At 40.5% G+C, this 14,657-nt stretch overlaps 1 long non-coding RNA gene across 5 annotated transcripts in view, besides 2 other annotated features; it reads left to right on the top strand.

The window, feature by feature from the left end:
* The window catches only part of LOC105376387 (uncharacterized), a 294,200-nt gene that overhangs the window by 189,691 nt on the left and 89,852 nt on the right, over positions 1-14,657 (top strand). The window contains exons 4-5 of one of the 5 annotated variants that reach the window (NR_188187.1): positions 8,241-8,350; positions 8,455-8,663. The exons of the other annotated variants lie outside the window; for them this stretch is intronic. This is a non-coding gene — a long non-coding RNA (uncharacterized LOC105376387). Of the gene's footprint in view, positions 1-8,240; positions 8,351-8,454; positions 8,664-14,657 lie in introns of those variants that run through there. 5 annotated transcript variants of the gene reach the window in all.
* Positions 465-884: an enhancer, noted in NCBI's record as "nonconserved acetylation island sequence 45". NCBI's record gives its function as "activates a minimal heat-shock promoter by reporter assays in Jurkat T cells {active_cell/tissue: Jurkat}" and the evidence as "EXISTENCE:reporter gene assay evidence [ECO:0000049][PMID:17135569]".
* Positions 644-733: an enhancer, noted in NCBI's record as "active region_2971". NCBI's record gives its function as "activates an Ori minimal core promoter by ATAC-STARR-seq in GM12878 lymphoblastoid cells {active_cell/tissue: GM12878}" and the evidence as "EXISTENCE:reporter gene assay evidence [ECO:0000049][PMID:35858748]".

The raw sequence follows: 14,657 nt of genomic DNA, 5'->3' as shown, positions 1-14,657 counted from the left end.
AAAACAACAACCAGCTCTTCTGGTTGTCATGGAGATAAGCCATTTAGCACTGCAAAGCCTTCCATGGGGAAGCAACGGCAATGGAGATTTCCAACTCCCAAGAACCGCATTCAAGGAGAGTTTCAACTTCCACTTGTCTTCCGAGGTCTGTTGTCTCTGAAAAAAAAATTTGTTGGGGAGGTAGGTATTTAAACTCATTTCCTGGGATAGAAAATCTAAGTAGCACATGCATATCCACAGAGCTTTGTTTCAGGACCCATAATGGGAACAAGTTTCCATTTCCTGTGAGGTGTGTACATAGTGTGTGTGTGTGTGTGTGTGTGTGTGTGTGTGTGTGTGTTAGAGAGAGAGAGAGCACCAATGAGCTCTCTAGAAACCATCGGAAGTGCCAGCTTGTAGAAGTAAACATAAAGCCCAGGCAAAGGACGAAAGAGAAAAAATTAGTTTGTCTCTAAAAGGAAACAGCCTTTAGATAGGAATGCATGTGAATCAGAAGAAACATGAAACTCTCATTCCTGGCTATACCATCTGCCCCACTTGTGAGGCACCGGCTAATTGTTGAGACACTGCTAGTGAAAATTGTGCAGGTTCACAGACTCTTAGGCAGCTGCTGTTTAGGGAAGTGTGGCGGCCGAGGGCCGACCTGGACTTCCGTTCTGGGAACTGGGGCTTCTCAGGAGAGTGGGTTTAGGGTAGCTGTGGCATGGAGGGTCCACAAGTTTCAGAAAATAGTGCCAGAGTGAAGTTACACTGGAGAAGAAGAGGTGGTCATACTACGGCATTCATTGCAAGGATGGAGACAAGGAGGTGAAGGCAGGCGGAGGCCCAGGTGCCAACTGATAGAGACAGGAGTACAGAGAAGACATGAGGGAGGATGGATAGAAGACAGAGTGGCTGAGGTTCCCTGCTGTGCTGAAGTTTTCAACGCAGTGCCTAAGCCTTAGCCCTTGGGTGGTGGGGAACAAGTCAAGCACACAAGGGGAATTAGAGAAGACCCACGCCTCCTTCTCTAGACGTGGAGGCAGGGAGTCAGGGAGGGCACATGGTTCATGTGGGTGCACACAGGAAATGAGAGAACGGAAACCACAAGTCAAGGGGCTTGCTGTCTTCTTGTCTGTTTGGATAAAAATAGAGCTACTGACTCAGCAGACAGTTTTCAACCTACCTTCAAGGCTCCCTGCTATAATTTTTTATTTCATTTCTTAATTTAAATTAGTTGATCACAGAAAAAGGCAGGTGATTTAAGCAGACCATATACTTCATTTAAGTCAAGGAACCATCATTGACACACCTAGCATTGTTGCATGCATATTCGTTGAAAATTCATCCATGAACTAACCATCATGATTAGGTACTGGTGATGGACAACTAAAATGATGGTAACTAAGTTAATGTACATTCCATATGTTATTCATTTCCAACATTTTTGATAAAGTAAGGAAATGGATAAGAGGGATACATTTTCAAGTCTGATAATGAAATAGATGTGCAAAACTGACAGTGGGACATATGTGGTTTTCAGAAGGAAAATGTTCATGAAAAAAGAGCTTCTCCATGATGGTCAAATGACAGGAAAGAAGCTGCATGCAGATGAGAAGAACTAGCACAAAGGGGAGTGTGAGAAGATGGGATAGCGGAAGCAGAGGTTGCATCAAACACTCGGAAGAGATCTTCTTATGAACATGACTATATCCATCAGTGTTTTCTCCTTCTTCTCCTAAAGAAGCAAGCAGACAAACAAACAAAAAACTAGAAGAATTTCCTAAGTCCTGCAAATTCAACTGTCCATGAAATTTAGAAATCAGATGATATGCTGACTTCAAAATACCTGTAGGGACTTTCAAAAGCCCCAAATAAGGCAGAAGCAGATGGAAGGAAGAGCAGTAGGAAAGAGTAGGAAAAATCAGAAGCTCAGAGAGTAATGAGTGGACTCATAAGAAGGAAAATTCAGGAAGATCCATAAAAATGCAAAAACTGATAGTCTGGTAGTACAAGAGCTATATTTCTCATTTGCAACAGTGGATATCTTGTGCCAGGACAAGGAAAGCTGGTGGTAGAAGTCACGATGGCCCCAGAAATGGAAATCCAGTCTCACACAGAAGAGCAATATTCACAGTGAGCATTCTGTTTCTGTGGCAGTGAAGGAATAAGCCCTTTGCTGTGAAGCCAGGACTGCCCTGCTTTGTCTCTGCCTATAGGACTAGTCTGCCAATAGCTGGGTCATAAAAAACCAAGTTTTTAATGATAAACAGTAAGAAAATTTATTGTGAATAAATATGTGGAAAAGATCTGCAAAGCTTTCCAACTGATACGGATTATTCTCCTAAAAACAGTGCCACTGAGCAAAGATGAACTGCAACCAAACATTTTGCCAGATTTTAAGGAGCATAATGAAGCAATTACTACTAAGAAGGAATGCCACAAAGTGGAAATGTAATAATTCCAGGAGAATGCCGAGAGACAACTGCAGGTTATAAGACAGGAATGAGGAGAACTCAGAAAATAAATAGAAGAAAAAGCGAAACCGTCATAGAAACGAAAAGGAAATCCAGTGGTCACAAGAGAGAATCGACGGCGTGATAAAAAGACAAAGAGTCCTGAAGGATAGAAATGAGAAAAATAAAGTAATATAGTAACATATAGTGAAAAAGCCCTAGAAAGAAAATGATAGATGTAAAATAAATGTCACTGGATTTTTTCTTTCTTTCTCTCTCTTTTCTTTCTTTTCTTTCTTTCTTTCTTTCTTTCTTTCTTTCTTTCTTTCTTTCTTTCTTTCTTTCTCTTTCTTTCTTTCTTTCTTTCTTCTTTCCTTCCTTCCTTCCTTCTTTCCTTCCTTCCTTTCTTTTTTTTTGACACAGAGTCTCGCTCTGTCACCCAGGCTGGAGTGCAGTGGCGCCATCTCAGCTCACTGCAACCTCTGCCCCCTGGGTTCAAGTGATTCTCCTGACTCTGCCTCCTAAGTAGCTGGGATTACAGGTGCGTGCCACCACACCTGGCTAATATTTGTATTTTTAGTAGAGGTGGTTTCGCCATGTTGACTAGGCTGGTCTCAAACTCCTGACTTCAAGTGATCCACCCTCCTTGGCCTCCCAAAGTGCTGGATTACAGGTGTGAGCCACTGCTCCCGGCCAGAATTTTCAAAGATGAGTGAAATAGAACAAATAGGCAAGGCATAAGTTAAATAAAATGAAACAAATCTGCATGCTGAACAGGCATACTATGAGCCAGAAAATACTCACTGCAAATTGTCAGCATCAAAATATAATTTTGTGAAATTGTTGAACTAGAAAAAGGAAAGGAGACATCTTTGGGAAGCCAGGTAAAAATACTGTCACTAAAACAAGGGAACAAATAGGGCTGGCTTTAGATGTTTCCAGAGCAACATGAAGACCGAGAAACAATGCTTATAAGACATAGATGAAAATAAATTGTGGGCCAAGGATTTTCATGAGGCCAAGCTCTCTTTATAGTATAACCAATGCCAAAAAAGAGTTTCGATCTGCAAACCTCAGATTATATTTTTCCTATAAGCCTATGTTGGGATAACTGCTGAAGAATGAGGTTTCTTCAACTAAGAGATGACTAAGAAACTGAGGAAAGTATAGCAAAAGGACTAATAGTAGTGCATGAATATGTTTAACTGTACAAATAAGACTGAAATGGTGGGGGATCAGTGAGGCAGGATAAAATACCAATGGTATATGCCCAAACAAGGTATAAATGCTATGAGTGATAAACGTAGGAGAGGAAGAGGGAAAGAGTATGAGTAGATAGGTTTGCTAATTGCTTCATCTATAAAGCTAGATATCAAAGGTATCATTTAAAACTCACAAACCAGGAAATAGAAGCAGTAGCATATTTCATACTACATAGTTAAGTACCAAGAAAGGTAATACTATTAAATGAAATTGGGTCATGGAGAGTAGGGAGGAGGAGATAAGGAGATAATAGCTATGAACTAAAGAGAGTGCTGGTGATAATGCATAAATTTGCAATTGTAAGGGTAATCAACCATTAAACAAAAATATTTTTTAACTCTGTGATGAAAGTACTATTCATGGAGTGCATAGTAAAAGACCTTTAAGTATCACGAACACATAAACATAAAAGGTAGAACTAAAGCTTGACATATCTATCACATTAACAAGTTAAATGAGTTTAACTTATCTATTAATACAAACGGATTTCAGGTTGGATCAAAACCAAACACAACTCGATGCTGAATGAAAACAGCATTCCTAAAACAGAGCTTCAAAATCATGGAAATAAAAGTATATAAATATAAAATAACAGATAGAGATACGCTAGTCAAATGCAATTGAGAAGAAAATGATCACAAACTTTCATATCAGACAGCATGGAGTTCAGGCCAGAACAAGACGGACAAGGGCACTTTGTAATGCCAACTTGTGTGAGTCATAATGAAAACACATTAGCCCTGCTCTAAATATGAAATAACAGCCACAGTCATGAAGCAGGATTAAAGGAGACACAAGAAATCGAAGCAAACTGGTAGAAGGAAATCTTAATTTATCTCTGTCAGTCATGACAGTTCAAGTACAAAAGAAAATATGGATACAGTAGTTCTAAATAACATTACATGATTGATCAATATGTATCTAACATTCTATCCTGAAGACACTGAATAAACCCCTTTCAAAGTGGCCCCAGTGCTCTCAGTACACATTGTATACCCACATACAGTATACATTGGGCCACAAAGATATCCTAAATAATGCCCCCAAACTACAAAGAATACAGGCAGTTTTCTCTGATCACAATGCAGTAAGACTAGTAGTTAATGAAATTGGATAACTAAAAGTTCTTTCAACCTTTAAAATATATATAATATTTATATTTAAAATATTTATATTTATATTTAAAATATTTATATATATATTTAAAATATATGTATATTTTAAAACTCTATCTCCTAATTAGTGACATGCTAAAAAAAAAAAAGCCCCATATCTTGAGTAATTATTGGATAAAAGGAGAAATACAAATGAAAATTGGAAAATGTCTAGCTACACACCACCCAATGAGGTTGCCATGAGCCATGTGTGGCTTTTTTTTTTTTTTTTTTTTTTTTTGACGGAGTCTCACTCTGTCACCAGGCTGGAGTGCAGTGGCGTGATTTCAGCTCACTGCAACCTCCACCTCCCAGGTTCAAGCGATTCTCTTGCCTCAGCCTCCCAAGTAGCTGGGACTATAGGCGCGCACCACCACGCCCAGCTAATTTTCATATTTTTAGTAGAGACGGGGTTTCACCATGTTGGCCAAGATGGTCTCGATCTCTTGACTTTGTGACCTGCCTGCCTTGGCCTCCCAAAGTGCTGGGATTCCAGGCATGAGCCACCATGCTTGGCCCGTGTGTAGCTATTTAAAATTAAATTTAAAAGTCAAATTAAAAATTAAGTTCCTCACCTCACAAATACCAGCCGCATTTCAAGTTCTCAATACCCACAGATGGCCAGTGACATTCCCCTTATCCCAGAAAGTTCTACTGCATAGCACTGATCTAGAACATAACTAGAATAAAAACATGACAGGGGAGGATGTATCCAGCACAGCTAAAGCCATGCACAATAACCTCCTCATAACAGCAACAAGAACATATGCCAAAAAATGAGGGAAAACAAACACATTTCTATCTTATCCAAAATGTTAGAAAAAGAACTACAACACAAGCCTTGAATGAAGATAAAAGCAGAATTTAATGAGTTAGAAAATAGAGGAACAGTAGCCCTAATAAATAAATCTATAAACCGTTTATGAGAAAAACATATAAGCTGAAAAACCTACTTTTTGCAAAGGGTAAACATACAATATAAAATTTAAAAAAGAAATGGAAAAGGGAATATAACCAAAATAACAGAGATGATTAAATGAATGAGACTACTTCCCTCAAATCTCCGGAAATGATTTGAAAACCTGAAGGAGATAAATACTATTGCTGGAAAAATTTTAAAGTAATTATATTAATACCCAAATGTTATGAAATTTAAGAAAACCAACCTATCAACAAATCTCACTTATGAATAGTGATTCCAAAACTCTAAATAAACGTGAACAAACAGAATTCAGCAACACATTAAAAGAATTCTAATCAAGTAGGGCTAAGGCTAGAATTTCAAAGCTGATTCAGTATTAGGAAATCGATATAATTTGTCATCTTAATAGAAAAATCACATCACTATCTACATAGTCTCTCAAAGGCATTTAAAAAATTTCAATAAATTCTTGATGAAAATAATAAAGTAGAAATACATGAACACTTTAATATAATACTTTATATAATAAATATAAAACTTCTTTAATATAATAAAATATTGGTATCTCAATTCAGAAGCCAGTACTAGAGACATTTCCATTAAATATCAGGATGAAATCAGGAATGCCCACTAATGTTATTATTATTTAATATTTCACTGTAGAATTATATATAAAATTTGTTGAAAAAATTGAGATTTAAAAGTGGAACAGAAAATGTAAAACCATTACTATCTGCAGATGACAATAAAACTAAATATTTGGAAAACTGAAGTCAACTCATTGATCAATTTTAAAAACTATAAGAGAATATACTAAAGGAATAAGGTATAAAATTATTACACAGAAATCAATAGCTTTCATATATATTAACAGTAGCCCGTTAGAAGATATAATGGAAGCAAAGAACCCATTTACAACAGCAACCCAGAGATAAAATACATAGGAATAAACTCAACACAACATGTGCAAGATTCAGATGAAAAGCATTAAAATGACCATCATCTGCTCCTAGACCCAACAGTTACACTTCTGGCCATTTATCACATAGATGTCCGGGCACATATTGAAAAGATATATTTTGAGATTATTAGTTACAGCACTGTCTGTAATTGCAGACAGGAAATAATCTAAGTATCTAGTAATAAAGAACTAGTTCATAAAATACGGTATATGATTTACCCAAGTAATGGGCTATCACACAGCTGTAAACCAGAATAAGAGAGCTTTCTATAGGTTGATACGGAAAGCTCTCCAACCTATAGTGTTATTTTAAAAAGCAAGAGGTGGAATAGTGTGAACAGAGTTTCTCTTTTTTGTGTTAAAAAGGAAAAAAAAATACGGTTGTTTATTTACTTTTATTTGTATGCCTTCCTACTCTGAAAGGATACATAAAAAATTCATGACAATGGTAACGTGTAGATGAGTAGCAGGCATTTGTAAGAGCCTTTTCACTGTATTCCTTTAAATACATTTTTAATTTTTTAAACTATGTGTGTGAATTAGCTATTCAAAAATAAATAAAAAATATTTAGGAGAAATACACAAAGAGTTTAGAGAATGGTGCATGGCAGCCTAACTTAGGTTGTTTTTTTAAAAAACAAACAAACAAACAAACAAAATTATTTTTTAACTCAGAATTGGGAGGCCGACCATGCATATTACAGGGCGGAGGCATTTAGAAGACTGCTGATCTTTGACCCAAGATCCCCTGCAAAGGTTTTTTCGTTTTGTTTTGTTTTCTGAGACAGAGTCTCCCTCTGTTGCTCAGGCGGGAGTGCAGTGGCGCGATCTCGGCTCACTGCAACTTCCGCCTCCCGGGTTCAAGCGATTCTCCTGCCTCAGCCTCCCCAGTAGGTAGGACTACAGTCGCGTGCCACCACACCCGGCTAATTTTTTGTATTTTTAGTAGAGACTGGGTTTCACCATGTTAGCCAGAATGGTCTCAATCTACTGACCTCGTGATCCGCCCGCCTCAGCCTCCCAAAGTGCTGGGGTTACAGGCCTGAGCCACTGTGCCCGGCCTCTTTGTTTTTTTGTTTTTTTTTCTGGAACCTAGCTTTAGGTGAAAAACACTTGCTCTAATTTTCTGGCTTGCTGCAGTCAGCAGAATGCTTCAACAAACGGCCTGGACAGTTGCCGGGTATCCCCATAGAACAGGCTGAGTTTTCCAAGACGTCCCATTAGTTCTTGCTGCCTGCAGAGGCATTCAGAGACAGCAACATTGAATGTGGAAAGACAAGCCCAATAGCACTGGTATCAGCTATTTTTCTTGTAAAATACCGTATTTTGATGTGACGCTATTGAACCTTAATGTTTAATGACTTCTGCAACACACCTCTATCCGGCGAAGCCATCTGTATTTGGGCTAATGTGCCCACTTTTCTGTTTACTCTGCATACATTATCTTTACTTAAGGTTTAGGGGGAGATATATCTATTTGGACATCTGTTCTTAACTGATTATAGGGAGAGTGAGCAAGTTTCGTCCTTGTGCCTGCATCTGCTGGGAAACGATAAGAGCCCAACATATGTTAGAAGCAACAATCGCAGACAAAGAGTACAACTTGTTTTTGAAGGTATGTAAACCCGAAGTTTAAGAGGCTGGGAGTTGCTGCCTTTGTTCCCTCCCATCTTGAGTATTAGCTCTATTTAAAATAACAAATATTCTAACGTGTGGCAGGACAGAGTCGCTTTTTTGCTTTGGAAAGGAAAGTGCACAGCTTGTGTGAACATTCACCCACTACCCTAGCTCTGCACCCTGCCCCGGCTCCTAAGGCGAACGCCCACGTTACCTCCGCTGTTGCTTCAGAGGGCTGCTGCCATCTATGGGCGTCTGTCAGCATCTGCGCAGGTGCGATGTCTCCGAGTCGAGACACATAGGGAGAATACGGGGCACAGAAGGGGAGCGTATGGAAGTCAGGGGACAAACAGCTCAAGAGCCATCCTCTAAGCCTGCGACCCAGCTCTTTCCAACGATCCTTCGGGTGAAATAAGATGATCCACTTCAACAGATCCATGGTGGGAAAAGGAGAAACCCCCCCAAAAAATCACACCCCTGCATATCAGTTAGACTCCTGGGGCTCTAACCATCCTGACTTTTCAAATGAGAACATTTAAACACCACCTTGTACTTCCCAGCATAGGACCTGTCTGTCTGTAAGTATATTCCATGATAATATTGCAACAAAGAATATATGATTTTTAAATTAGTTCTTTTTTTTTCTTTTTTTTTTTTAATTCAGACAGAGACTTACTCTGTCACCCAGGCTGGAGTGCAGTAGCATGATCTCGGCTCACTGCAACGTCTGCCTCCTGGGTTCAAGCGATTCTCGTGCCTCAGTCTCCCGAGTAGCTGGGATTACAGGCGCACGTCCGTGTCCAGATAATTTTTGTATTTTTAGTAGTGACAGGGTTCCACCATGTTGGCCAGGCTGCTCTCAAACTCCTGGCCTCAAGTGATCTGCCTGCCTTGGCCTCCCAAAGTGCTGGGATTACAGGCATGAGCCACTGTGCCCAGCCTGAATTAGTTCTTAAAAAGTATTTATTTCACTTGCTTATATCCTGTAAATCCTAGAATCACAAACTCTATTAAGTGTTGGGGACTCTATAAAGCAAACAAGCCCACACTTTAACCCCAAGAACGTATTTTAAGATATCCTGGACAAGGAGCCCTCCAGCCTGTGTGTAATGGCTAACTGATGTGTCAACTTAACTGGGCCATGGGTTGCCCAGATAGCTGGTCAAACATTATTCTAGGTGTGTCTGTTTTGGGATTTAAATCAACAGACAGAGTAAAGCCAATTGCCTTCCTAATATGGGTGGGCCTCATCTAGTCCACTGAAGGCCTGAATAGAACAAAAAGGTTTACCTTTCTCCTATTAAAGGAGTTCCTCCTGCTTGATAGCCTTCCGACTGGGATATGGGTTTTTTTCTTCCCTTCAGACTCAAACTGAAACACTGGCCCTTCCTGAGTCTCAAGCCTGCTGGCCTTTGGGCTGGAACTAAACCCTCAGCTCTCCTGTGTCTCCAACCTGCCCGCTCTGCCTAGTGATCTTGGGACTTCCCAGACTTTATAATCATGTGAGCCGATTCCTTATAATTAAATCTCTTCGTATATTAACACACATCCTGTAGGCTCTGTTCTCTGGAGAACCGAGCTAATATGCTGTGTTAAAGCATTTTCAGAGATAAGAAACTCATGTGCTAAGTGAGTCCAAGGCCAAGCAGTTAGCCCATCAGAGAACCAAGAGCTGGACTGGGAAATTTTGTCTTCTCATGGCCTTGCCTGTATTCATCCCTCCATCCTTCTACTCCTCCCTTTATTCAGCAAGCATTTGTTACATAGAGCTAACAATTGAGCTACTTTACAATTTGCTTAAAATAAATATTTTGCAATGACCTCCTTGCCTACAACCCCAATCACACTCAGCATTTCAGTAGCACACAATACAGTTGTGCCCGCCTTCCCCAACAGCACCCCCTGCTGGTTTTCCTCCTACTTCATCAAGGGTCCTCTCGGTTCTCTTTGCTGCGTCTTCCTCAGGTACGTGACATAAATGTCACGGGGTAACAGGCTCCAGTCTGGCCACCTTCTCTTCTCTACCTGCACCTTCCCGTTAGGTGCACTCATCCCTTCTCATGGCTTTAAATGCCTTCCACATGTTGAGTCCCAGACTTACATTTCTGACCCTAAACTTACCTCAATGCTCCAGATTTGCATATTCAACTGTCTACTGTGTAGATATTGACTGAGTGACTTAAATTTAACACATTCCAAACAGAGCTTTTGATTTTCTCCGTTTATACCCAAGCTGTGCTCAACCACCTTGGGGACGTGTCGTCAGGCCCTCCTGAGGCTGTGTCATGGCCGTGCCCTTAATCTTGGCAAAATACACTTTCTAAATTGTTTGAGACCTGTCCCAGACGTTTCAGGTTTACATCCCCTACACTTCATCCACATTGGCTTAGCTCCTTCCTGCCCGTCTATTCCCTCTACTTAGAACGGTCTTGTACTACCTCCTTTCATGTCTGACGTCTAGTCGTTCAGGCCTCAGTTTTGCTATTATTCCACAGAGAATCCCTCCCTGACCTTGTCCCTGTCATTGTCATTGATGTTTATTTCCTTCCTAGCCCTTTGCACATTCTGAAATGGTTTCTGCTTTTATCTGTTTGTATCTCTGCCCCCAACACACACACTAGAATGTAAGTTCATCCTGTTCCCAATTATTTTATAAAACCAATAGATGCTCAGTAATGTTCACCGAATGGGTAACAAATGAATCCATCTCAAAAGGTATTGGGAAACACTAAAACACTACTTTTCAGGGTCCCCAGAGGCAGATAGCAAAAGAAGCAGGGTCTAGTGCCGTGTCCCCAGCGAACTCTGCCTCTCACTGAGCCCTCCTTCAGTCTTCCATATTTTTTAGGAACCTCCTGCTTTGGCCTTGGCATTGCCACTGTATTGGCCTTAAGGTTTGTCCCCTGATTAAAGAAAGAAATTTGCCTTTAAACAGCACAAATTCTCCTTTGCAGTGAAATTAGGGTTAAACACTGTCAACATAGCAGCATTTCACTCCGAGGGACGATATGTACCAAATTGGATCACATGGCTGGTGTGGTTTGTTGGTGATCCAAGCCATGTTCATTTTTTAAATGAACTTGTGAAAGCATCCGAGCCTCTGAGTGAAATCAGCACGCACTTGCAGCTTCCATTGCCTTCAGCTTTGTTCCTCTAAAACCATGACGTCACACTTGTTTTTTTTTTTTTTTTCGGATCCAGAAATCTTGCTTCATCTCCTTGTTTTGATGTGTGTTGTTAATGTGCACTGTGAAGTGACTATTGTCTTCTGCTCCATTTGTGGAAATTGTAGCTCTTTTAGATATCATATGAGCACTGGAAAGAGAGACTTAAAATGCACCTTGTCGTTCCCTGAAACATGTTATCTTATGTACCCAAACTTTGGTTTTCTCTCCGGTGATGAAGTGTGGGTCATAACTTCTTCCCCCTACATTTTAAAGGATCAAGTGAAATCACACATGGAAATGCATTTTGGAATCTGTGAAGTCATATGTCAATTGCTTATTGTTGTAATTTTACTTATAGTAAGACATTTAAAAAATGACATCGTGGTATGGTTGCGAGGTCACTGGGCCAGGAAACAGAAACCTTATGCCTGGCATTGGTCTTGAAACCACACTGAGACACAGGGTCTTGACCTTGAAAATGAGGAACTAGATGAAATCATCCTGCATGTCTAGGAAACTCTAATATGTAAAGCTTTGCCATTATACATAGGGCTTCAGGTACTAAAATGAGGAAACAGTGTCTTCTTTCTTCTTCAAATCTCCATACACTTCATCTATAGGAAAAATGACATTCCATTAAATTGCATAGAAATAAATTGCTCAGTAATTTCGTACTTACTATTGCATACTTTTTAGCACCCACCGTCTGCCAGGCACTCTCATAATAATTCAAGCTTTTATTCTATATGACTTTGAAAGCAGATTTACTTTACATTATCTCATGTGATTTTCTGAAATGCCTTCAATGGAGGGTAGGACCGAGATTACTAGGCCCACTTTACAGAAAGAGAAGTGGAAGGTAAGAGAAATTAAAGGAGCTGCCCAGTTTCACAGATCTAGTAAGCAGGCATCCAGGTTTGGTCCCAGTGATCTTGGACTTAGCAAAACTGGTGTTTTTTCAACTTTGATGGATAGATTTGTGACATGGTCTCTGTCCTTAAGATGGGAATCTTCGAAGACAGCTCTTAAAATTTGGTAGATACACCTCCTGTAAAGGAACAAGGTTACAAAGTCGCAACCTTTGGATGTACCAAGAAAATGTAGTTTCTTCCTCTTTTGAAGCTGCTCTATGAGTTTCTGCCTACTAGAAAGAAGAGAAAATGAATATACAACATAATTTTTCTCATTTGGCTTGATTCAAGGAGTTAAACAAGGTCTACAGGTGTAACTCAGCCATTTGGGGCTACTTTCTCATTCTTTCCATTCTGTCCCTCCTATTTGGCCCTGAGATATTGTCTAGGACTTGGAAGAAGGTGGAGTGGGGAAGAAAGCACTTGCCCTCGTGTGGTCTTTGGGTGTGTGCTGGGTTTTGTCTTCCGAGCTGGCCCAAGTTCCATTCTGGGATATCCTGATGGGTCTACTGTTGATGTCTGCAGTTGGTAAAGTGGTGAGCTATCATTTTTCCATTCATGCAGAGCTGGGGGCCCTTCCCTGCTAAGTGTACCTCTTTCAACTCTCACTGGCCCTCCAGACTCCTCTCAACTTGCCTCTGTTCTCTTCGTCTTGCATTCAGGGCCTGCCCTACATATCCAATCTCATCTAAATCCATCACCTGCCTCAACTTCTTGAAGCTCTGCATGCCACGAGAGTCATCGTTCCTGGCTACAGCCCATTAGGGGACACTTAACCCACCCATGTAGCCTGTGACCAGATTCTCTCTCTCTCTCTCTCTCTCTGTCTCTCTCTCTCTCTGTCTCTCTCTCTCTCTCTCTGTCTCTCTCTCTCTCTCTCATCTCTCTCCTCTCTCTTCTCTCTGTCTCTTTCCCCTCAAGAAATTGAGCAAAGGACACAGAAACAGGTCAGGAGATTGAGCTGAAAGATCCTTTATCAGGACTGGTACCTTGGCAAGTTGAAGCCATATGCACACTTAAGTTGCATGGAAGCAGAGAAATCCTGAGTAGTAATAACAGTGATGGCCACTGTTTATTGAGCATTCATCACGGCAGGTGCTATGTGAAGTGTTTGACATGTGTTATTTAATTTTTATAACCGCCATCCAGATATATGTCTGTCTATCCATCTATCTATCTATCATCTAAAGAAAGAAAATTACTGTGACCACCCAACAGATGAGGAACTAAGAGTTTAAAAAGTTTTAAAACTTGTCCAAGGTCATGCAGCTAAGATACTAGAATAAAAGCCCAGGCAGTATAATCTCACAGCTATTTACTCTGTGGCTGGAGTGTAGAGAGGATGATGGAGCAAAATATACAGAGGGATGGAGACTATATGGTCTTAGACAGAGAGATGGTGGACAAACTGACTGATAGACACATCTAGATTGACTAAGAGGTTAGCTGCTTAGCCCCAAGAGATTTTCAGTATTCCATATCTTCGCATGTCCTTTTTCCCTCAGTGTCTGAATACACTCAGTACTCCTTCTATGCTCTGCCTCCCTTTCCCATCTCCACACTTGCTTACATAGCTCAAGAGAGTTTCTCTTTCTTGCAACCAGTAGCACTTTGGAGAAAAGATCCTTCAACTAGACACCCTGTCCCTAGTATTCTGGTTCTTCTCCTACTTTTCCTGTATACCAACCTTCACTTTCAGCCAAAATGGTCTATTTATTGTGCCCTAATTACCTCTAGAAATTTCCCCATCTGAGGCTTGGAAGTCTCTTTTCTATCATTCCCAACTCTATAGATCTACCTGCTATTCACACTCCACCTTCTCCATGAAGCAGATGTTCTCTTCACACCCTCAACTCCACAGCACCGTATTTTCAGCCACCTGGAGCACCGGTTCTACATCTATCACATTACACGTTCTCCTTTCGTATTTGTCTTATTCCCCGTGGGCTACATAGTCTTGCCTGCACCCATGTGGTACTGTGTCCACTGGAGGAGCTCGGTCAGTATTTGTGGAATCTCTGGGAAGGAGTGGCGCTTTAAACTTTAAAGCTGGAGAAACGTACATGCTCAATTCAGCAAACCCCCATCAAGTGCCCGCTATGAGCCAGCAGGGACCATGTTACTATAGCCATGAAAAGAATGCAGTCTTTAATTACAGAGGAGACAAATAGAGACTCTGTGAGCTATGATGAAGAGGGCTGGGAGGGCCATAGGTAGAGGATCAGGT

This window comes from Homo sapiens, chromosome 10 (genome assembly GCF_000001405.40).
Source record: "Homo sapiens chromosome 10, GRCh38.p14 Primary Assembly".
Taxonomy (NCBI): domain Eukaryota; kingdom Metazoa; phylum Chordata; class Mammalia; order Primates; family Hominidae; genus Homo; species Homo sapiens.
This window is presented reverse-complemented; position numbering and strand designations above follow the sequence as displayed.